The sequence below is a fragment of the Homo sapiens genome, chromosome 20, assembly GCF_000001405.40.
Source record: "Homo sapiens chromosome 20, GRCh38.p14 Primary Assembly".
Lineage (NCBI taxonomy): Eukaryota > Metazoa > Chordata > Mammalia > Primates > Hominidae > Homo > Homo sapiens.
In genome coordinates, this window is record NC_000020.11 from 51,681,335 (window position 1) to 51,704,151 (window position 22,817).

The following is a 22,817-nucleotide window of genomic DNA, read 5'->3' on the forward strand; positions in this document are numbered from 1 at the left end:
TTGCAGCTCAGCTCAACTGTTTTCCTTTTTACTGATTTTGGAGGAAATACATAAAACTCTCTCCCATTTCCTCTATAGCCCATCCTAAATTTCTTTTTTTTTTTTTTTGAGGAGTCTCACTTTGTCGCCCAGGCTGGAGTGCAGTGGTGCAATTTCGGCTCATTACAACCTCCGCCTCCCAGGTTCAAGCAATTCTCCTGCCTCAGCCTCCCAAGTAACTGGGACTACAGGTGCACGCTACCACACCCAGCTCATTTTTGTATTTTTAGTAGAGATGGGGTTTCACCATGTTGGTCAAGCTGGTCTCGAACTCCTGACCTCAAATGATCCACTCGCCTCAGCCTCCCAAAGTGCTGGGATTACAGGCGTGAGCCACCGCGCCCAGCCTCCATCCGAAACTTCTAATAAACTATAAATCCCATGTTGTGGGCACATGCATCTGTCTCCTAAGGCACTACCACAGTGCTGGGACCGGCAACGGACCTCAGCACCGAACAGGTGCGCTCTTGCTGCATGAAAAGGAGGACGGAAGGAGAGAAGAAAATCACCAGATGAAAAACAAACAGGCATATGAAAATGCATTTATTACTGAAATGCTAACATTTTCAGTAGCCAAGGTGGTGGTTACCCTTGGGCAGGTGTGGGGCAGCTAGAAGGGAGTGGAGGGAGCTTCTTCGGGGGTGGACGGTGATAATATCCTGTTTCTTGATCTGGGTGCTAGTCACACAAATGTGTTACCTGTGTTAAAATCCATCAAGCATAGGGTGGAAGGAGGGTGAGGATCAGAAAACACTACCTATTGGGTACTATGCTTACTGCCCGGGTGACAATATCATCTGTACACTAAACCCCCGCAGCATGCAATTTACCCGTGTAGCAAATCTGCACATGTACCCCCAAACCTAAAATAAAGTTGGAAAGAAAAAAATATAAATCCACCAAGCACTATGTTTAGGATTTTCTGTGTACGTACTATCCTTCCACAGAAGGCTTAGAAAAGAAGAATGGTGAACCGTCCACAAAAAATGAAGTACGTCCTATTCACGTGGCTGTCTAGTAAGGAGATGAGCACATGACAGGTAGTCATGAACTTCCAGCCCTGCCTATGCCAGATGCAACGGGACATGACAACTTTAACCCCATCTTGTTCTCATTGCCTTTAACGCCTCTTTATTCCACCCAAAGAGACAAGCATTTGACCCAGACATCCTCTGCTCTAAAGTGTGTTGCTTTTCACTGTATCTTTTTTTTTTTTTTTTTTTTTTTTTTTTTTGAGACAGAGTTTCCCTCTTGTGGCCCAGGTTTGGGGTGCAATGGTGCAATCTTGGCTCACTGCAACTTCTGCCTCCCAGGTTCAAGTGATTCTCCTGCCTCAGCCTCCTGAGTAACTGAGATTACAGGCACGCACCACCACACCCGGCTAATTTTTTGTATTTTTAGTAGAGGCGGGGTTTTACCATGTTGGCCAGGCTGATCTCAAACTCCTGACCTCAGGTGATCCAGCCGCATTGGCCTCCCAAAGTGCTGGGATTACAGGCCTGAGTCACCGCATTCAAGACCAGCCTGACCAACATGGTAAAACCTCATCTTTACTAAAAATACAAAAAATTAGCCGGGTGTGGTGGTGCATGCCTGTAATCCCAGCTACTCAGAAGGCTGAGGCAGGAGAATCGCTTGAACCCAGGAGGTGGAGGTTGCAATGAGCAGAGATCGCACCATTGCACTCCAGCGTGGGGACAAGAGCAAAACTTTGTCTCAAAAAAAAAATAATAATAAACAGCGTCTTTCTCTGTCACCCAAACTGGAGTACACTGGTGATCACAGCTGACTGCAGCCTTGACCTCCAAGCTCAAGCAATCCTCCCACCTCAGCTTCCTGTATAGCTAGGACCAAAGGCACACAACACAACACCTGGACGTTTGTTTGTTTGTTTGTTTTTATTTTTTTTGAGACGGAGTCTCGCTCTGTCGCCCAGGCTGGAGTGCAGTGGTGCTATCTCAGCTCACTGCAACCTCCACCTCCCAGGTTCAAACGATTCTCCTGCCTCAGCCTCCTGAGCAGCTGGGATTACAGGCGCCCACCACCACGCCCAGCTGATTATTATTATTATTATTATTATTTTATATTTTTAGTAGAGACGGGGTTCACCGTGTTAGCCAGGATGGTCTCGATCTCCTGACATTGTGATCCACCCGCCTCAGCCTCCCAAAGTGCTGGGATTATAGGCGTGAGCCACCTCACCTGGCCATGTTTTTATTTTTTGTAGAGATGGGTTTTCACTATGTTGCCTAGGCTGGTCTCAAACTCCTGGACTCAAGCAATCCTCCTGCCTTGGTCTCCCAAAGTGCTAGGATTACAGGTGTGAGCTACTGCACCCAGCCTCGTTTTACACTTTCATTCCCCATAAGGCTGCTTGTTCACACGGGGCCAGAAACACAGACTGGGCCTAAGAGTCTGGAGCCTGGAGTCTGACCTGAGGTAATATTCCCTTGCCTGTTAGTTCTCCTAACTCTATTCCTTAAAGCAAGTATTTTAATGTAAGACTATATAAACACTCCAAAAAAAGTCAGTGGATATTTTTATAATTTTAGAGCAGGGAAAATTTTCTTAGCATGACACAAAAAACAGAAACCACAAAGAAACAAAAGATCCCAGCCTGGGCAACATGGCAAAACCCTGTCTCTACAAAAAATACAAAAACTTAGCCAGGCATGGTGAGGTGCGCCTATAGTCGCAGCTACTCAGAAGGCTGAGGTGGGAGAATCATTTGAACCCAGGAGGTCGAGGCTGCAGTGAGCCCTGATCATGTCTCTGCACAACAACCTGGGTGACAGATCAAGACCCTGTCTTGAAATGAAAAAAGATCAACAGGTCTGACTAGATAAAAACTGCAAACTTTAGTTCCAAAAAACAAATGAGACCAAGTGAAACAGTCATTGCAATTAAGGCAACAAATAAAATATTAATATTCTTATGACATAAACAATTCTTACAAATTATTTTTTAAAAACCAACCTATAAGCAGAAATAATGGGCACAGGACACAAAGTGGTCATTCACACATATATTTAAGAAAATACGGCCAGGCGCGGTGGCTCATGCCTGTAATCCCAGCACTTTGGGAGGCTGAGGCGGGTGGATCACGAGGTCAGGCGATTGAGACCATCCTGGCTAACACGGTGAAACTCCATCTCTACTAAAAATACAAAAAATTAGCCAGGCGCGGTGCCAGGCACCTGTAGTCCCAGCCACTGGGGAGGCTGAGGCAGGAGAATGGCGTGAACCCGGGAGGCGGAGCTTGCAGTGAGCCGAGATCGCACCGCTGCACTCCAGCCTGGGTGAAACAGTGAGACTCTGTCTCAAAAAAAAAAAAAAAAAAGGAAAGAAAATACAGGCCTGGGCGCGGTGGCTCACGCCTGTAATCCCAGCACTTTGGTAGGCTGAGACAGGTGGGTCACGAGGTCAGGAGATCGAGACCATCCTGGCTAACAAGGTGAAACCCCGTCTCTACTAAAAACACAAAAAAATTAGCCTGGCGTAGTGGCAGGCGCCTGTAGTCCCGGCTACTAGGGAGGCTGAGGCAGGAGAATGGCATGAACCCAGGAGGCGGAGCTTGCAGTGAGCCAAGATTGTGCCACTGACCTCTAGCCCGGACCACTGAGCGAGACTCCATCTCCAAAAATAAAAAAAAAAAAAAAAAAAAAAATACAAATAAATAGTAAACATAAAGGAAGATGTCTGCACAAATAATTTTTCTAAAGGCAAATCAATATGCTAAAATTTGTTCAATGTCTATCACATGGGCAAAAATTAGAAAGCCAAACACACTGCTGGCTAGATACACATGTAAGTTAAGTTTATCAGGAGCATGAAGAAGAAGAGGCAAGTTTCCTGGGTGAATCGAAACATAAAATGTATATGGCCTTCCAACAGCCATCCTGTTTTTATGAAAACATAGGCACACGCCTGTAATCCCAGCACTTTAAGAGACTGAGGCGGGTGGATCATGAGGTCAGGAGTTTGAGACCAGCCTGGACAACATGATGAAACCCCAACTCTACTAAAAATCCAAAAAAAGTTAGCTGGGCGTGTTGGCGGGCCCCTATAATCCCAGCTACTCGGGAGGCTGAGGCAGGAGAATCACTTCAACCTGGGAAGGTGGAGGTTGCAGTGAGCCAAGATCACAACACTGCACTCCAGCCTGGGAAACAAGAACAAGACTCAGTCTCAGAAAAAAAAGAAAAGAAAAAAGAAAAGAAAAGAAAAACAGACACGAAAAAATGCTCATCATCACTGGCCATCACAGAAATGCAAATCAAAACCACAATGAGATACCATCTCACACCAGTTAGAATGGTGATCATTAAAAACTCAGGAAACAGCAGGTGACGGAGAGGATGTGCAGAAACAGGAACACTTTTACACTGTTGGTGGGACTGTAAACTAGTTAAACCATTGTGGAAGACAGTGTGTTGATTCCTCAAGGATCTAGAACTAGAAATACCATTTGACCCAGCCATCCCATTACTGGGTATATACCCAAAGGATTATAAATCATGCTGCTATAAAGACACATGCACACGTATGTTTATTGCGGCACTATTCACAATAGCAAAGACTTGGAACCAACCCAAATGTCCATCAATGATAGACTGGATTAAGAAAACGAATAGAATACTATGCATAGAATTCTATGCAGCCATAAAAAAGGATGAGTTCATGCCCTTTGTAGGGACATGGATGAAGCTGGAAACCATCATTCTCAGCAAACTATCGCAAGGACGGAAAACCAAACATGGCATGTTCTCACTCATAGGTGGGAAATGAACAGTAAGAACACTTGGACACAGGGTGGGGAACATCACACACCGGGGCCTGTCGTGGCGTGGGGGAGTGGGGAGGGATAGCATTAGGAGATATACCTAATGTACATGACGAGTTAATGGGTGCAGCACACCAACATGGCACATGTATACAAATGTAACAAACCTGCACGTTGTGCACATGTACCCTAGAACTTAAAGTATAATTAAAAAAAAAAAGAAAATGTAGGCAATAAAAAATTTTAAATTTCTATATGGTAAAAGAAAATAAAGCCCATCACAAACAAAAACAAAAAACAAACAAAAAACTGCAAAAATATGTATAACCCACAAAAAGTGAAAGTTTGATATTCTTTCCTCTATAAAGCATTCTAACAAAGTAATGAGAAAAAGAAGAACCACAAAGGAAAGTAGATAGACCAGAATATTAAGAATTAGCTGACAGGTAGAAAGACATTCAACTATATTTGCAATTAAATCAAAATTAAAACAGTAGGCTGGGTGCGGTGGCTCATGCCTGTAACCCCAGCACTTTGGGAGGCCGAGGCAGGTGGATCACCTGAGGTCAGGAGTTCGAGACCAGCCTGGCCAACATGGTGAAATCCCATCTTTACTAAAAATACAAAAATTAGCCAGGGGTGGTTGCACATGCCTGTAATCCCAGCTACTGGAGAGGCTGAGGCAGGAGAATCACGTGAACCTGGGAGGCGGAGGTTGCAGCGAGCCAAGATGGTACCACTGCACTCCAGCCTGGGCCACAGAGGGACTCTTTTTTTTTTTTTTTAAGCCAACTAGTAACTTACAAAGAAACAAAAGAGACAGATGCAAATATGACCACCTGCCAGGTAATCTAGGAAATTCAAACTGAATGAGATAATTATTTTTCAGTCAAATTATCAAAGAATAAAAAGAGTAATTAATTATTATTTGTTAATAAATGACTTGAAAGCAAGAAAAAATTGGTTCAGGTGACATGGGTGGAAAGTGGCAAGGAGGGGCAGGATGTGAACGTCTGCATGCTGCGTCCCCTGGGTGGCTGTGCCCAGGCGTGGCCCAGGCATGACCGTGCAGAATTTCTCGCTCTTTAGTCATCAGGGGGACTGAGAGACGTACCAAAGTATGATGAAAATAAAGGCAGGCAGTGGAAATAAAATGTAGCAGAAAAAACCTCAAGGGAGAGTGCACCTCTGCCTATTTGTATTAAGTAGTGCATGTGTGGATGGTGACACACGGTACTCCAGGGATAGTTTGTGCTGCTTCATTCCCTCTCCTTGCCACACAGGATCCTAATCGAGTGTCTACTACTGTACTAGAGAGCAACAAAGAAGGAAAAGGCAAGGTGGTTTACACCTATGATCCCAGCGTTTTGGCTGAAGCAGAAGGATCACTTGAGTCTGAGAGTTTGAGACCAGCCTGGGCAAGAGTGAGACCCCCATCTCTAAAAAAGTATTTAAAAATTAGCTGGGCCTGGTGGCATGCACTTGTAGTCCCAGCTGTTTGGGAGGCTGAGGCAGGAGGACTGCTTGAGCCCAGGAGTTCGAGGCTGCAGTGAGCCATGATTGCACCCCTGCACTCCAGCCTGGGCAACAGAATGAGACCCTGTCTCAAAAAAAAAAAAAATGAATGAATGAATGAATGAATGAATGAAAGAGAGAAGCAACCAGCAGAGTAAAACGGCTTGATGGTGGGGAGTGGAGAATACTATGTTTGAAGAGAGGAAAAAATTGATTCATCTAATAGTAAAGACAGAAAGTCACCAGCAGTAGAATTATAATACTAACTATACTATTAAGTTAATGATATCACGAAATGTAAGAAAAGTGATGGCTACACAGTAAGTTCTGTTTCTGGAGCAAAATGCCTAGGTTCAAGTTCCAACTCTGCCTTTCACCTGCTGTGTGACCTCAGAGCAAGTTACTTAACCTCACTCAGCCTCCGTTCCGTCATCTGCAGAATGAGCATAATATGAATAATAGTATCTACCCTCATGGTGCCGTTAGGAGGGTTAAGTGCAGTGTGTAACACACATAAGCACCCAGCACAGGGCCTGACACATGGGCTGCATGCCGCTGATGTTAACCACTGCTATCGGGGGTCATATTCAGCCCATGCAGTCCTGATCAGTGTCATCCCAGCACTGAAAGACACCAATGGGCCAGGTGCAGTGGCTCACATCTGTAATCCCAGCACTTAGGGAGGCTGAGGTGGGTGGATCACTTGAGGTCAGAAGTTTGAGACCAGCCTGGCCAACATGGTGAAACCCCATCTCTACTAAAAATACAAAAATTAGCCAGCGTGGTGGTGCGGGCCTATAATCCCAGCTACTTGGGAGACTGAGACACAAGAATCGCTTGAACCCGGGGGGCGGAGGTTACAGTGAGCCAAGATTGTGCCACTGTACTCCAGCCTAGGTGACAGTGTAAGACCTTGTCTCAAAAAAAGAGAAAAGAAAAAAAAAGAGAAAAAGAAAAAGAAAGGCACCAATATCCACTTCCTCTTGGTGTTTAAACACAGAAGCTCCAGCTCAAGCCCATGCCCTTTCCTAGGGCCCCAGTGCTGGCAGTCCCAGCGCGACATACCCTACAAACACAGCCTCCAGCCAGAACATCCAGGCTGCCTCCCCCTCTGGTACAGATTAGAATGTCAATCTGAACAGGCAATTAGAGCTACTGCCAGCATGGACGCTGCAGAAAGGTCCACAGGCCACGCGGGCTTCTCCTCCAGGCATCTCTAAGTGTCCGAGCTGCAATTAGATGTCAGTTTAATTCCCTGGAGGTGTCGGAACAAGTGGAAAATGCCATTTGACCGAGCACTCATTTTTCCAACTGACAGATGATTATTCTAATTACAAAAGGATTTTCTTTCCTTTTCAAATTGCTACCACATTCCTCAAAACGGCGCCTCACCTGATGCGACCACAGTGCCAGCCCACAGCGTGTTCTCTATGCTCAGGCTCTCGCTGATCGGGGGGTCGCTGTCTTCCTGGAAAAGACCAAACGGACACACGTTCACCCCCCAAAGCTTCCCCAGAATCCACAGGCTGCTTCTAGCATGGTCCGCTGGAGATAGAAAGACAGGCTCCCCCCGATGAACCTGGAAGCCCAGTTTGGAAGCCGACGGCTCCACCATGAGGGGAGGGCCAAGCTCTTCCACTACTGCCCTTGGGGTTTTCATCTCCCACAGAAATATGTGAAAAAGTTGGCCTGTGATTTAAGAAGCGCAGGCCTCTTAGCACTGAAAAATGTTTTATGAGGTTAAGAATCAAAACGTAAAAGCAAACCAATCAGGCTGTTTGCAGGCCAGCTTTGTTTGTGGCTTATAGAAAGAGAATGTGGACAATGTAATATGGGTTCTAGAAACCTGTTGACCCATATTCCTAAAATAATTTTTTTTTTTTTGAGATGGAGTCTCGCTCTGCCACCCAGGCTGGAGTGCAGTGGCGCGATCTCGGCCCACTGCAACCTCCACCTCCCAGGTTCAAGCAATTCTCCTGACCTCAGGAGATCCGCTCACCTCAGCCTCCCAAAATGCTGGGATTACAGGTGTGAGCCACCACGCCAGGCCTCCTAAAACAAATTAAATCCAAATTAAATTTCTCTTCTGAAAGGTCTGGAAGTGGCTTAAAAATTATGAAAATGGCAGATAGGATTTGTATGAATAAAAGAGGACAAAGTCAGGTGTGGTGGCTCACACCTGTAATCCCAGCACTTTGGGAGATCAAGGTGGGTGGATCACCTGAGGTCAGGAGTTCAAGACTAGCCTGGCCAACATGGTGAAACCCCGTCTCTACTAAAAATACAAAAAATTAGCCAGGCGTGGTGATGCACACCTGGAATCCCAGCTACTCAGGAAGCTAAGACAGGAGAATCACTTGAACCCGGGAGGCAGAGGTTCCAATGAGCCGAGATCGCGCCACTGCACTCCAGCCTAGGCGACAGAAGGAGACCGTCTCAAAAAAAAAAAAAAAAAAAAAAAAAAAAAGGCCAGGCTCAGTGGCTCATGCCTGTAATCCCAGCACTTTGGGAGGCCAAGGCGGGCGGATCACAAGGTCAGGGGATCAAGACCATCCTGGCTAACACCGTGAAAACCCGTCTCTACTAAAAATACAAAAAATTAGCTGGGCGCAGTGGCGGGCGCCTGTAATCCCAGCTACTTGGGAGGCTGAGGCAGGAGAATGGCGTGAACCCGGGAGACGGAGCCTGCAGTGAGCCGAGATGGTGCCACTGGACTCCAGCCTGGGCAACAGAGCAAGACTCCATCTCAAAAAAAAACAAGAGGACACAGATCCATCTGAAGGACAGAGAAAGAAAAACTCTTTCAGACGCCAGCGTTCACATGAATTGCAGCAAATGCTTCCTCTAAGTTGTCAGGTCATTTAAGCTGTTCCAAGGCCAGAAGAAAATTCCAGTTGTGTCGACCTTACTGAGAAACAATACGCTGGCTTTCAAGGCGGTGCCTTCTTTATGTCCCCACCTGGCATGAAACAACTTCCTGACAAAGAACTGTCAGTACTTCTTGGCCTTCATTTCATCCCTTACACACTCCCGGTGACAGGATCCCATGTGAAGGAAGCTCACTTACTCGGGTAAAAGTTCCCACGAAGTTGTGAATGTCAATATTTGGCTCTTCTGCGTACACATACGATCGAATCTGAAGAAGGTCCTGTTCAACAGAAGGCACATTCGGGAGTCAAAGTCAGTTCACAATGCAAGACTTCAGGAGGCATCCACTATGTTTCCAAAGCAACTATATTTCCCACACACAGCAAATGGCCCCTCAAAATTACAGGGGAGGTGGAAAGAAGAGGAAAGTCCTCTGTTAAGTAAGTTGAGGAGTCGCAGCATACAGTATCTCAAAGCACCCTGACAGACTCTACAGTGAAGACCCTCGTTTCTCTGTTTACTCAGCCCTTTCCAGACTTGATGGGGTGATGCTACACACCTATGAATACCCTGGAAAGTGGCAGACCCTCCTCTGCTAAATTCTGGCTTGCAAGACTTGTTTGTACCATTGAAAATACTCATTCAGGCCAGGTGCAGTGGCTCATGCCTGTAATCCCAGCACTTTGGGAGGCTGAAGTGGGCGGATCACTTGAGGCCAGGAGTTTGAGACCAGCATGGCCAACATGTTGAAGCCCTGTCTCTACTAAAAATACAAAAAAATTAGCCAGGCATGGTGGCGCGTGCCTGTAATTGCGGCTACTCAGGAGGCTGAGGCAGGAGAATCGCTTGAACCCAGGAGGTGAAGGTTGCAGTAAGCTGAGATCGCGCCACTGCATTCCAGCCTGGGCGACAGAGCGAGACTCCGTCTCAAAAAAGAAAAGAAAATACTCATTCAACAAATGGTTACTGGGCATCTACTCTGTATAAACCTCTGGGAAGAGCTGAAAAAAGTAAGAACGCCTCCCACCCGTAAGGATGGCTGCTATCAAAACAAAAACAAAAACAAGTGTGAAGATGTGGAGAATGTGGAGGCCCTGTGCACTGTTGCTGGGAACGCAAGATGGTGCAGCAGCTATGGAAACAGCACTTCCTCAAAAAATTAATCAGAAAACTACCATATAATCCAGCAATTCCACCTCCGGCTATATACCCAAAAGAAATGAAAGCAGGGACTTGAAGTGATCATCTGTCCACCCATGTACGTAGCAGCATTATTCACAATAGCCAGGAAGTGGAAGCAACTCAAACAAGCATCAGTGGATGAATGGATAAACAAAGTGTGGTCTGTCCATACAATGGAATATTACTCAGCCTTAAAAAGGAAGAAGTTCTGACACAGGCTACAATACGGATGAACCTTGAAGACATTATGCTAAGTTAAATAAACCAGTCACAAAAAGACAAAAACTAGGTGATTCCACTTATAGGAGGAACTTAGGGTAGTTTAATTCATAGAGACAGAAAACAGAAAGATGCTTGCCAGGGGCTGGGCCAAGGGGGGAATGTAGTTACTGCTTAATGAGTCCAGAGTTCCAGTTTTGAAAGATGAAAAAAGTTCCGAAGATGAACACGGCTGATGCCTGCATGACAACGTCAATGTACTTCATGCCACTGAACTGTACACTTAAAAACGGTTAGGACGATAGATTTTATGTTATGTGTATTTTAGCACAATTTTTTAAAAAGCAAACAAGAAGTCAACCTTAGGTGATAAGAAAGCCCAAAAGTGAAAGATCTTGGCAAAAACTACATTTCAAAGCAGCATATGTGAAGTGGCGTAAGACAGGCACAGTCAGGGGGAGCAGCAGTCACTGTTAGAACAGTGAGTTTCTAACTACTGTCTAGGAGCCCCTGGGGACTTGTAGCAGCCACCATCACGTGAAGTGGGGCTGGAGGGGGAGCGTGGGGTCCTGGAGAGCCCCTGGGAGGTGGTGGCTCGTGCCTGTAACCCCAGCACTTTGGGAAGCTGAGGTGGGTGGATCAATTGAGGCCAGGAGTTTGAGACCAGCCTGGCCAACACGGTGAAACCGTGTCTCTACTAAAAATACAAATATTAGCCGGGCGTGGTGGCGGGTGCCTGTAATCCCAGCTACTCAGGAGGCTGAGGCAGGAAAATTGCTTGAACCCAGGAGGTGGAGGTTGCAGTGAGCCAAGATCATGCCACTGCAGTCCAGCCTGGGTGACAGAGCAAGATTCCGTCTCATAAATAAATAAATAATAAAATAAAATTCCTGGTTTAAAATTAACAGTAATAATGGTGTTATTTCACTTTTTATTATCCATGAAAAATCATTCATAGGGTGGCTACATTTCTTGTTACGTCAATCCCGCCAAGACATGGAACTTTCCTCCTCCCTCAGGGGACACAGTAAGGAGTGGCTTCGATCCATGTGACGTGAGCACAGGGGAAGCTTCTGTGTTCCACTTCATCCTTCCAGACCACAGTGGGGCATGCCACTCACCAGGCACTTAAGTTACACATGGCCAACTACTGCGGCCATCCTCTCAGCCAGGGCCTGCGCCCCATCATACACACTGGGGATACGGCAGAGAATACAACAGGAAGAACCCACCCGCAGGGATGCTGCCTGGAAGTGAGTGAAGCAGGGATGCAGGGAGAGGTGGGCAGAAAGAGCCTCTCCGATAAGGAGAATCGTGAGCAAAAGCTCAGTGGAGTGCGGAGATGCCCTGCCAGGCAGACTCGCCAGGGATCAGAGGGCTCCCAGTGGAGGAAATGGCAACAGTAAACATCCAGGGACAGAATGACAGACCCGACAGGCTGGTAGGCAGAGGAGAGAGGGCCAGGCACTGAGGTCGGAGCCTCTGCAGAGAGACAAATGGGAAGGAGCTGAAGACGACAGCAAGCACCGCAGAACTGATTCTCAGTAAGATGAGAAATCTTTGGAGGGTTGTTTTTTTTTTATTTTATGGTTATTACTTTTATTAGATACAGGTGTCACTATGCTGCCCAGGCTGGAGTGCAGTTGCTATTCCCAGGCACAATCATGGCTCACTGCAGCCTCGAACCCGCAGGCTTAAGCAATCCTCCCGACTCAGCCTCTTGAGGAGCGGGGACTACAGGTGCATGCCGCTGAGCCTGGCCTACCTTCGTAGGTTTTGAGCAGAGGAATGGCATGCTCTGGCTTACCTTTTCAATTTTGGTGAGGCCCCTTGGCAAGGCTCCTTATGGTTTTTAGCTTCCCGCAGGAGAGCTCACTCCCTGCACTCGGGGTCTGCTTTGGTCACGTCAGGAAAGCCAACTAGGCCCAGGGGCTCTCCAGGACCCCACGCTCCCCTACTGGCCCCACTTCACAAGTTGCCATCCCATGCCTGGCCCCCCAGGTATGAGTTTGAGAACCCTGCTAAGATAGGTTGCCCGCATGGGCTTCTGCAGGGAAAGCTACTCACGGCGGCCGTGGGGAGCCTCTGCGTGCAGGCCACGGGAAGCCGCAGCTTCCAGTCCGTCTCCCCATCCAGCTGATCCGTCCGCAAGAAGCATGACCCTGTGGAAGGAAGTCGGGTGCCGTCACCTGCACCTCAAGCACCCTTCCCTTGGCAGCTCTGGGCAGCGTCTGCTCTGGTCCTTGTAAAAACAGCCAACCAATGGCCAGCGACCACAAGAGAAAATACATATCCTATCTCCTACTTCTTCCATAATAAGCTCTGGGGTCAAAAAGCTCAGAGTTCAAATCCTCACTCCGCCACTCCCTCTGAGTGGGATCCCCAGCTAGTTTCTTGGACTTGTCAAGCTTTAGTGTCTGTAAAACGTGGAGAAACGCAGACTTCGCAAGCTTGCTGTAAAGATTCAATGGGGAGATAGAACGGGGACGAGCACAGGTTGACCAGCATTCCGAGCCGTCTGGCCAGGCATCGCCAGCACCTTCTCAGGACCCAAACCACCTGAGTGCAGGTCCAGGCTCTGCCACGTAATAGCTTTGTGCCCTGAGAGTTGCCTATCCTCTCTGAGCCTCAGTTTCCTCGTGTGTAAAAGTGGAGATAGGAACAGCACTGACCCTGTAGAGATGTTGTGACAATTAAAGAGCTGATTCGTGCGCAGAGTTCAGAACAGGACTGATCGATCCAGGCAAGCACTAGGTCATTATGGGCTGGCACATTTCAGAGGTGTATCTTTCAGTCTGACATACAGATCCGTGCAAGTAGTCAGCTGTATACTCCATCAGATACAGAACATACCCCATTCACTGCCACTGCAGTTCAGTCTTTGAGAACTATTAATGTAGAACACTCATAATTTTGGTTTGTTTGTTTGTTTTTTCAAGAAAAAAAGAGCATGTCAGGGGCCCTACTCCATAATGCTCTGTTTTCACTAAATAGGACACAAGAACGAATTTAAAGACAAAGCTGCAGTTTTTCAAAGGCTGTTTTAATCTAGTGCCTTTTATCTCCTGTCCTGATTACATATTAGTATAAAATTTTACTTGTACTTTAATTCTATTCATAATGAAATACGTTGCAGCATCCTCAAAGGAATACGAATGTAAATTTTTCATGTATTCAAAAAACCTCCGATCATGCCAGATAAGGGAAAAACAGCCTTATTTCCTCAGAACAGCTTAAATAACAAAAATTAAAACTAAGGCCATTTTGGCCAGGCGTGGTGGCTCACACCTGTAATTCCAGCATTTTGGGAGGCCAATGGATCACTTGAGGTCAGGAGTTCGAGACCAGCCTGGCCAACACGGTGAAACCCCGTCTCTACTAAAAATACAAAAATTAGCCGGGCATGGTGGTGCACGGGAGGCTGAGGCAGGAGAATGGCTTGAACCCAGGAGGCAGAGGTTGAGGTAAGCCGAGATCGTACCACTACACTCCAGCCTGGGCGACAGAGCAAGACCCGGTCTCAAGGAAAAAAAAAAAAAAAAAACTAAGGCAATTTTAGTAGACTCATAGGGTGGGCAGGCAATGACAGCTGCCACCCTAGGGAACAACTGCAAGGAGTTAAGGGCCTTGTAGGAGACTTCAGAGATTCCCACCCCACAAACTCAGGCTACAATAAATAAATCAATAGGTGCTATAGGCAAGGTCCCCTGACTCATGAACAAAGGGCAGAAAAGACGCCCACCTCTCCCCAGTTTCTGTACTGCCCCCATCATGACACATCTGCTGGTATCAGCTTAGAAGAGAAAGGATTTCTGTTTACTTCTACATGGTAGAGACACTTCCTCGTCCCAACTCCTGAGGTTGAGCTTAACACAGCCGGGAGAGGAAATCCAAAGCCACTGTATGCGTGACTTTACCAGCTGTGAGTCAGCCGGTGTTCCACAAACTGTATTTTTTAATGATCACAATCTATTGACTTTTAAAACACCAACAACACTGTTTAAAAAGCACGGTCTATTTAAAAAGATGCTTTTGATTTGCCTCCATGGCTCCAAAATGATAATCTACTTTGTGACATTTTCAAATGATTATTTTGCCAAATTACCACTGAAAGGTTAATGGTTATTTTCCAAATTGATCTCAGATGTTTACCGTTTTTTTCTGATGTCCTCAGGAAGATCATGTCGGCAGGGACCCGCTGGTTCTGTGTTATGAAAAGAAAGACTGTTACTGTGAATGAATGACCGTGTGCTGTGCGGTGGGGAGGGGGGCTTCCGCCCCCACCCCCAACCCCTCGGTGGGTTGGGGCAGGGGGGACTGAAACTCACAGACTCTTTTACGTTTCTGCCTTTGTCAAAGACAGATTTGGGGATTTATTTTGTTTTGAATCTGAAAAATCTTGCACACTGCTGCTACTTTACTAATCCCCTATCAAAATCTTATCTTGGAAAGAGAGCTTCTAGTTTTCTGGCACATTCAACCATTACCTCCCAAAATCCCAAAAGCCTGCCTCCCCAGCTGGCTCTCTTCCAGGCTGTCTGCTGAGACTCAAGACAGACCCTCCTCTCTCGCTTTCTGCTTCTACCAACTTACCAGCTTGATGTTTGGCTTTTAGTGGATTTTAATAAGGAAGGAAAGTAGTAAGAAGCAACAAAAGCCATTCTAAAAAAAACTGGGGGGTGTGGGGAGCCAGTAGCCCCCATTTAATTATGAACAGAAAAGTATGTGATAACATAGATGGGGGTTGTGTGGTTCTTCTGAGCTGCCACCCAAAAGAGTTTCACTTTACCTTAAAGCAGCTTTGAGTTCTTGGATTTAATCCCTTTAAAAGAGCATAGCTCAATTTCTACAGAAACAAGTTAAGACACAACCCTTTTCTAATCAAATATTATTCCAAGCCTCTCCAGAGCCACCCCTCAAAATCCAATACCTTCCAAATATACACACTAGAAAAAGACATGAGTGTTTGCTAAAGTAGCAAACATACTGACACGGCTATTTTTTAAAATGTATTTTTGGTCTTTTTACTGTTCTCAGGTTACACTTAACCCCTGCTCCCCATAAAATAATAGACAAGCACAATGGTTAGGTCAGGAAATGCAAGCTAAAATGGCTCAAAGGGTAAATTAGATAAATATTTTAAGTGTCTATGTAGTAAGCAGACTTCTAGGAAAAACTTTATGATATTTTTTATCCCAAAATAATAAGCACATCGAACAGGAAATCAAAACTTGTACTTGTGTTTGTAAGCAGGATTTCTGGCTAACCAACGCATATAAACCTTGAAAAAATATTTGTGTGTGTGTGTGTCTGTGTGTGTGTGTGTCTGTCTGTCTGTCTCACAGGAAAGAGATTTTTCTCCCCAGGCAAAGTTTTTGGATAGAATCCCAAAATTCAACATTCACTTCGTCTACCAGATACACAAATGACACATTAGGACCCATGAAGTGGTATCCACACACAAGCTTCCAGATTCTGCTCACCTTTTCAACGATGATAAGGTCTCCAACTTGGATGTTAGAACTCTTCACCTTCACTGTGCCTGCAAAGCAGCAGGTTCAAGATACATCACCATCTTAATTCATTTCAATTCAACACGTCTTTACAGAGTGCCCAGCCTGCAAACACACAATACACCCAGAAGTACACGCTCCCACACACAGCTGCCAGTGACTCCAGCACCATTATTTCCTGCCTCTCCAGGAAAGGGTTCAACCGCTACAGAGGCCGTTGCAGAAATAAATGCCCACTTCACAGGGCACTGGAATAACTTCAGCCCTTCATGAAAGATCATTTATTTGCCTTCAGAGTGACTTAGATGGAAAGTAGTGGGGGGAAAAAAGTCTTAATTTTCAACACCACTTAACAGTGACTTAGATGCAAAGTACCGGGGGAAAAAAGTCTTAATTTTCAACACCACCAAAAAGAAAGAAGCTAACTAATTCCAAATGACTGATTTACTTTTTAATTTATAATTGCTACATGCTTTGATTTATAGGATTATGATCAGACTATATAATTTTTGCTGGATGTTTAGATAAACAGTAAAAGCTAACATTAAATGCTAATTCTGTGCTCAGCACTGTACAGATTTTGAAGGTTTCATTTAATCTTCACAATAGCCCTCAGAAGAAGGTAGTTCCATCTCCAGCTTTCAGACGAGGAAAGGAGACTCAGGATGTCCCACCTTCCCCCAAAGTCTCAGAGTTAGAACAGGTCAGTGCTGGGATTCACACCTGCATCTGACTCCACAGTACAGAATAAAAGCAGTGAGTTCCATTCAACCCAAAAAACATGACTGGGCCAGGCACAGTGGCTCACATCTGTAGTCCCAGGACTTTGGAAGGCCGAAGCAGGCAGATGGCTTGAGCCCAGGAGTTCCAAACCAGCCTGGCCACATGTCAAAACCCTGTCTCTACCAAAAACATAAAAATTAGCTGGATGTGGTGGCACATGCCTATAGTCCCGGCTATTCGAGAGGCTGAGGTGTGGGAGGATCGCTTGTGCCCAGGAGATAGAGGCTGCAGTGAGCCGTGATCATGTCACTCCGGCCTGGGCAACAGTGAGACCCTGTCTCAACAGCCAGACAGCATTTACTGAACGCCTGCTGTATGCCAGGCGTTCTAAGGGCTGGGGATACGTGAAACTCAATTCCAGTGGAGGGGAGGAGGCAATAAACAAATAATGGATGAAAGGGGTTGGAGAATCAGAGGGGTGGCTGTCAACAAACTCTGTGGGAGAGTTGAGGCCAGAATTAGACAGACGAAGGACACTGTGTTTACCAATAACAGACGAAAGGCACCCTGAGATGTGAGAAAGTGGGACAGGTGAATAGCTAACAGCATGCACACGGCCAAAGGCTAGAACTCCTTCAGCAAGACGTAAAGCATCAGGAAAGCAGGGAACAGCGAGAGATGAAAGTGGAAGGGGCCAGTTGGGGCCAGGTGGCCCCACACCCTGTGAGGGAGCCCAGAGAGGAAGAGAGAATTTATTCTGGTGATAGGTGAAATTCACATACAGGAGCAACACCACAAAATCTTTATGATGCTGCTATCTTGTAACAAGCCCATGTAACTTACAAATGTTCAGCTAAGAGAGAGATAAAAAGTAATTATAGGCCGGGCACCACAGTGGCTCACGTCTGTAATCCCAGTACTTTGGGAGGCCGAGGCAGGTAGATCACCTGAGGTCAGGAGTTCAAGACCAGCCTGGCAAACATGGTGAAATCCTGTCTCTACTAAAAATACAAAAATTAGCAAGGCATAGTGGCAGGCACGTGTAATCTCAGCTACTGAGGCAGGAGAATCGCTTGAACCCGGGAGGTGGAGGTTGCAGTGAGCCAAGATCTCACCCTTGCACTCCAGCCTGGGCGACACAAGCAAAACTCAATCTCAAAAAAAAAAAAAAAAAAAAAGAACTTAAAGACTTAAAGACACGAAATAATATAAGTGCACAACTCTAGACTTTTAGTGTCTCACATATTTTACATTTTAACATAATTTAATATCATTTATTTTTTAAGTATTTCACTACCATTGAGATTTTTCAGAGCATTCCAATGTTTTCCTATTGAAACAACTCTCTTTAATCGGTTCCATAAGATTTGTTTTTAACTAATTTTTGTGTGTCGTTAAATCTTGTCATTAAACAATAAGTAGAACTGGCATCAAAAGGTCTGATATAAACACTACTGACTTCTGACTTCTTTTTTTTTCTTTTTTAGACGGAGTCTCGCTCTGTCACCCAGGCTGGAGTGCAGTGGCATGATCTCGGCTCACTGCAACCTCCACCTCCTGGATTCAAGCGATTCTTCTGCCTCAGCCTCCCGAGTAGCTGGGACTACAGGCACCCACCACCAAGACTGGCTAATTTTTGTAGTTTTAGTAGAGACGGGGTTTCACCATATTGGCCAGGCTTTTCTCGAACTCCTGACCTCGTGATCCACCCGCCTCGGCCTCCCAAAGTGCTGGGATTACAGGCATGAGCCACTGCGCCCGGCCAACACTACTGACTTCTAGAAAGCACTCAACTAACAATGGCGAGCTGAACTAACCCTCGATCGCTGGTAAGACTTCTGGACTCTCCTAGTGTGAGTATTTCACCCTACTAAGTGAGCATCTAGCATCTAATGGCACCTCATTTTCATAAAATGTGATGCTAAACTCAATTCAGTGACCGGAGCCCTGGCCTGCTAGAGAGAGATCCACTGGCCTCCTTTCATTATGTCTTGGGCTTTGGTCAATACATTTACAGAGAGACTGGAGAACATCCAATTAGATGATTAGAAATGGGTAAAGAGGCCGGACACAGTGACCCAAACCTGTAATCTCAGCACTTTGGGAGGCTGAGACAGGTGGACCACTTGAGCCTATTAGTTCAAGACCAGCCTAGGCAACATAGCAAGACCCTGTCTCTACAACAAACACAAAAAATCAGCCAGGTGTGGTGATGTGCACCTACAGTCCCAGCTACTCCGGAGACTGAGGTGGGAGGAATGCTTGAGCCCAGGCGACCAAGGCTGCTGTGAGCTGAGATTGTGCCACTGCACGGCAGCCTGGGCAAAAGAACAAGACCCTGCCTCAAAAAAGAGAGACAGAGAAAGAGAGAGCGCCGGGCATGGTGGCTCACACCTGCAATCCCAACACTTTGGGAGGCCGAGGCGGGCGGATCACCTGAGGTCAGGAGTTTGAGACCAGCCTGACCAACATGGAGAAACTCCATCTCTACTAAAAATACCAAATTAGCCAGATGTGGTGGCACACGCCTGTAATCCCAGCTACTCGGGAGGCTGAAGCAGGAGAATCGCTTGAACCCGGGAGGCGGAGGTTGCAGTGAGCCCAGTTCGCACCACTGCACTCCAACCTGGGCAACAAGAGCGAAACTCCGTCTCAAAAAATAGAAAACAGAGAGGGAGCGAAAGAAAGAGAGAAATGGGTAAAGAGACGGTCTAATTGGCAGAACGATTTCATGGCCTGAACCACTCTTCTTGCTCCACTAGGGGGCAAAAGGAAAAATGAACACAGACCTGTCGTTTTTCTGGGAGCTCAGGAAGGTATTACTTGAAGGAAGACCGTAAATTCAACGTGGCCCTCAGCGCCAATGAACTTTTCCTTCACCTGAGCTTGCCCCAACTTTCCCAAACATAAATTTACACATTGTCTTTGGTTTTATTACTAAAATTTATGCTGCTGACCTGGCCCAAATGATCACACCCGGGTTCAGATCTTCAAGCTCTAGTTACAGGTTCCCTCTTAAAATCTAACTCATAGAAGAGCATGTGTTTTCATTCTTATTAAATAATAATTGCCTATGTATATGTGTGTACATTAGCAGGACAGAGGACAAAATCAGGGAGATTTCACTAAAAGGATCAGCAGGGCTTTCTCTGGCACATATATTTTCCAAATTTTTCACATGAATTGTTTTTCCATTAAGCGTAAGGTTGCTTTCCTAAGAAGAAAAAAATAATAATTAAAATTAGCTCAAATTTTTAAGTGACCAGACCCAGATTTTTCCCTTCTGCAAGTGAGTGCTGATTTATGATCCATTCATTTGAACTCTGCCTCTCTCTGTCCATCTGTTCTGCCTCAACAAAAACCCCTTTAATCCTCTGTGTTTGCAGAGCAGTTTCTGAGTAACCCCAGCAGGCCAATCCTTCATGCAAACACACCTACTGTACCCAACTGTCCATCAGCCAACAGGGCTCTTGCTCCACCTCTAAGGGAGGAAGCAAGGAGCCACACCATCATGAGGTCACTTGGGATTTTTAGCCACGGTCATTCATTAGCATTGCAGTGTTTTGAGGGGATGAGCCTCGGATCTGCAGCTTGAACAAACACAGATTCCCAGACTCTCCCCTTCTGTTGAGCTACTGCAGAGTGCTGTCAATTTGGACTTCTTGCCCCATGTTGTCTTTTCTTTTGGTGATCAAAAACACGTAGTTTGGCTGGGCACAGTGGCTCCCAATCCTAGCACTTTGGGAGGCCGAGGCGGGTGGATTGCTTGAGCCCAGGAGTTTGAGACCAGCCCGGGCCGCATGGCAAAACCCTGTCTCTATTTTTTAAAAAAGTTAAATTAGGCCAGGCGTGGTGGCTCATGCCTGTAATCCCAGCACTTTGGGAGGCCGAGGCAGGTGGATCATGAGGTCAGGCGTTCGATACCAGCCTGGCCAACATAGTGAAACCCTGTCTCCACTAAAAATATATAAAATTAGCCGGGCGTGGTGGCAGGCGCCTGTAATCCCAGCTACTTAGGAGGCTGAGGCAGGAGAATCGCTTGAACCTGCAAAGGCGGAGGCTGCAGTGAGCCAAGACCGTGCCACAGCCCGGGTGACAGTGCAAGACTCTGTCTCAAAAAAAAAAAAAAAAAAATTAAATATCTATAGATACATAGTTTGGGCCTTCATGCTTCATGGTGTGTGTGTTCGTGTGTGTGTGTGTGTGTGTGTGTGTGTGTGTGTGTGTGCATGTAATGAGAGAAAATACAAATAAAACCAGAATGAAAAGGAGAAAAAGCAGCAAGAAGAAAAGAGATAAAAAAGCAGATACTGTTATTTACATTCCCATATTTACTGGGAGTTTTCCACCAGCCAGGCCCTAGGCTTGGCTGTCAGTATTTGACTAAAATGTCCCTCTCCAAGGAGCTCTCAAGTTGGTAGGGAGAAAGAGGGAGAGAAAAGAGAGACCAAAGTTAGAAGTGAGGAATCACTGGGCATTCAGTGGTCAGAACTGACTCCCAGAATGAAAAAATCGGTAAGGGTGTGGAAAGGGCCCAAAACACATGATTTCTAACTTCACAGCAACCACTATTCTGAGTCTTCTACGAACATTGTTGCAAAAAAGGGGAAGAACAAGATACGGAGAAGTAACCTAACAGAAGGGTTCTTGTCTTCCTAAGAAAGTAACAGCAGAAAGAAAAAATAGCACATTGATAGCAATTATTACCAATCTCAAAAAAGGGCAGGAACTCTCCCTACAATTGATCTGACAGAAAAGAAAATGCCCTCCTAACAGGCCTCCGGCAGGCACACTTCCCAAGCGCTCCTTGGTTTTTTTGTTGTTGTTTTGTTTTGGTCTCATCTTCCCCAGAGACTCCTAAGATGGAAAAAGGACCAATACACTCCCAGCTTGGGCGATGCTTCACTGTTAATGTCTTAAAATTCTTGGTCAGTTTTGTGTTTTTTTAAACTCAAGATCTAACCACCTGATCTTAATACTTTTTGAACAACCCCACCTCCCACCACAATTTTCATTTTTCACTGGGTCCCACAAATTATGTAGCTGGTCCAGAAGGGAAGTAAAAACACCCAATAATATCTTCTTATAAAGTGCACAGGAAAACCTGGCCCTGTCCTAAGAACCGAGGCCACAGAACTCTGAACTTTTCCTGTAACACCCCATCTCCAATATCGAGGCTCCAAGATTTTTAAACGCATTTGCAGAAATTCTACAAAGGTAAGAGATTTTTGCAAAAGTTAAGCGGAAAATTCTCTGCCTGCCACATCCTAAATCATTAAAAGTCTTCTAATAAATCTATCCCTTTCAGCTTTCGCCACTTCACCCAAGTCGTCTCTCAATCAGAGTTTGTAACGGGGAACAAATTTCCAATTATTAGAGCTGTTTATTTCTGTAGCGATGGACCCCCAAGCCTTTCATAAGCAAACCTATTGAGCCCAAACCATGCCTTTCATGGATGACAGCTTCAGAATAAGAGCAGTTTGTCTACATTGCAGGGAGAAACCAGATGTTTCCCTTGAGTCGAAACAAGCAAATGACAATTCAGTCAAACTGCAGAATAGCCTACCAAAAAAATTTTTTTTAATAAATTCCAGGGCAGTAATATGTGTGGGCCTATTTTTTGACCCTGAACACCTCCATCTATACTTGTATTTTTCATTGTTCATGCAGGGCACTGATTGCTTTTGTAGATCTCTAACAACAATCTCCATGCACTAACCCTGGTTAATGTATTACTCTTTAACTCACACTCTAATCTAACTGTGACAGTGATGAGTTGTAAATTCTGCTTCATGTGTACATTTCCTGAGGTTGACATTAAAACGCCTCTGCAGACCCAGCAGAGTTCAGAGGTTTAAAGTTGAAATTTTCATATTCAAATAGAGTTGTCTGCATTCCCCAAAGCCAAAGAAAAGACTGTTATTTGAAAACAGGCAAAGAGTTGAAAGGATTATTATAAATAATCACTACCACTT

General features: G+C 45.7%; 1 protein-coding gene across 1 annotated transcript in view, besides 6 other annotated features; it reads right to left on the reverse strand.

The window, feature by feature from the left end:
- ATP9A (ATPase phospholipid transporting 9A (putative)) overlaps positions 1-22,817 on the reverse strand; it is a 171,877-nt gene that overhangs the window by 84,821 nt on the left and 64,239 nt on the right. The window contains exons 5-9 of the mRNA NM_006045.3: positions 16,090-16,148; positions 14,759-14,810; positions 12,674-12,768; positions 9,405-9,485; positions 7,730-7,805 (exon numbers count right to left, since the gene is read on the reverse strand). Coding sequence (NP_006036.1) covers positions 7,730-7,805; positions 9,405-9,485; positions 12,674-12,768; positions 14,759-14,810; positions 16,090-16,148 — 363 coding nt within the window. The remainder of the gene's footprint in view (positions 1-7,729; positions 7,806-9,404; positions 9,486-12,673; positions 12,769-14,758; positions 14,811-16,089; positions 16,149-22,817) is intronic.
- Positions 14,216-14,510: a silencer, noted in NCBI's record as "tiled region #11561; K562 Repressive non-DNase unmatched - State 21:Repr". NCBI's record gives its function as "represses a minimal TATA promoter and a strong SV40 promoter by Sharpr-MPRA in K562 cells {active_cell/tissue: K562}" and the evidence as "EXISTENCE:reporter gene assay evidence [ECO:0000049][PMID:27701403]".
- Positions 17,226-17,726: an enhancer, noted in NCBI's record as "H3K27ac hESC enhancer chr20:50315099-50315599 (GRCh37/hg19 assembly coordinates)". NCBI's record gives its function as "activates a minimal SCP1, AML or CMV promoter by ChIP-STARR-seq in naive H9 embryonic stem cells {active_cell/tissue: H9 hESC(naive)}" and the evidence as "EXISTENCE:reporter gene assay evidence [ECO:0000049][PMID:30033119]".
- Positions 20,136-20,430: a silencer, noted in NCBI's record as "tiled region #2244; K562 Repressive non-DNase unmatched - State 21:Repr". NCBI's record gives its function as "represses a minimal TATA promoter and a strong SV40 promoter by Sharpr-MPRA in K562 cells {active_cell/tissue: K562}" and the evidence as "EXISTENCE:reporter gene assay evidence [ECO:0000049][PMID:27701403]".
- Positions 20,136-20,641: a biological region, named in NCBI's record as "Sharpr-MPRA regulatory region 2244".
- Positions 20,141-20,641: an enhancer, noted in NCBI's record as "H3K4me1 hESC enhancer chr20:50318014-50318514 (GRCh37/hg19 assembly coordinates)". NCBI's record gives its function as "activates a minimal SCP1, AML or CMV promoter by ChIP-STARR-seq in naive H9 embryonic stem cells {active_cell/tissue: H9 hESC(naive)}" and the evidence as "EXISTENCE:reporter gene assay evidence [ECO:0000049][PMID:30033119]".
- Positions 20,642-21,142: an enhancer, noted in NCBI's record as "H3K4me1 hESC enhancer chr20:50318515-50319015 (GRCh37/hg19 assembly coordinates)". NCBI's record gives its function as "activates a minimal SCP1, AML or CMV promoter by ChIP-STARR-seq in naive H9 embryonic stem cells {active_cell/tissue: H9 hESC(naive)}" and the evidence as "EXISTENCE:reporter gene assay evidence [ECO:0000049][PMID:30033119]".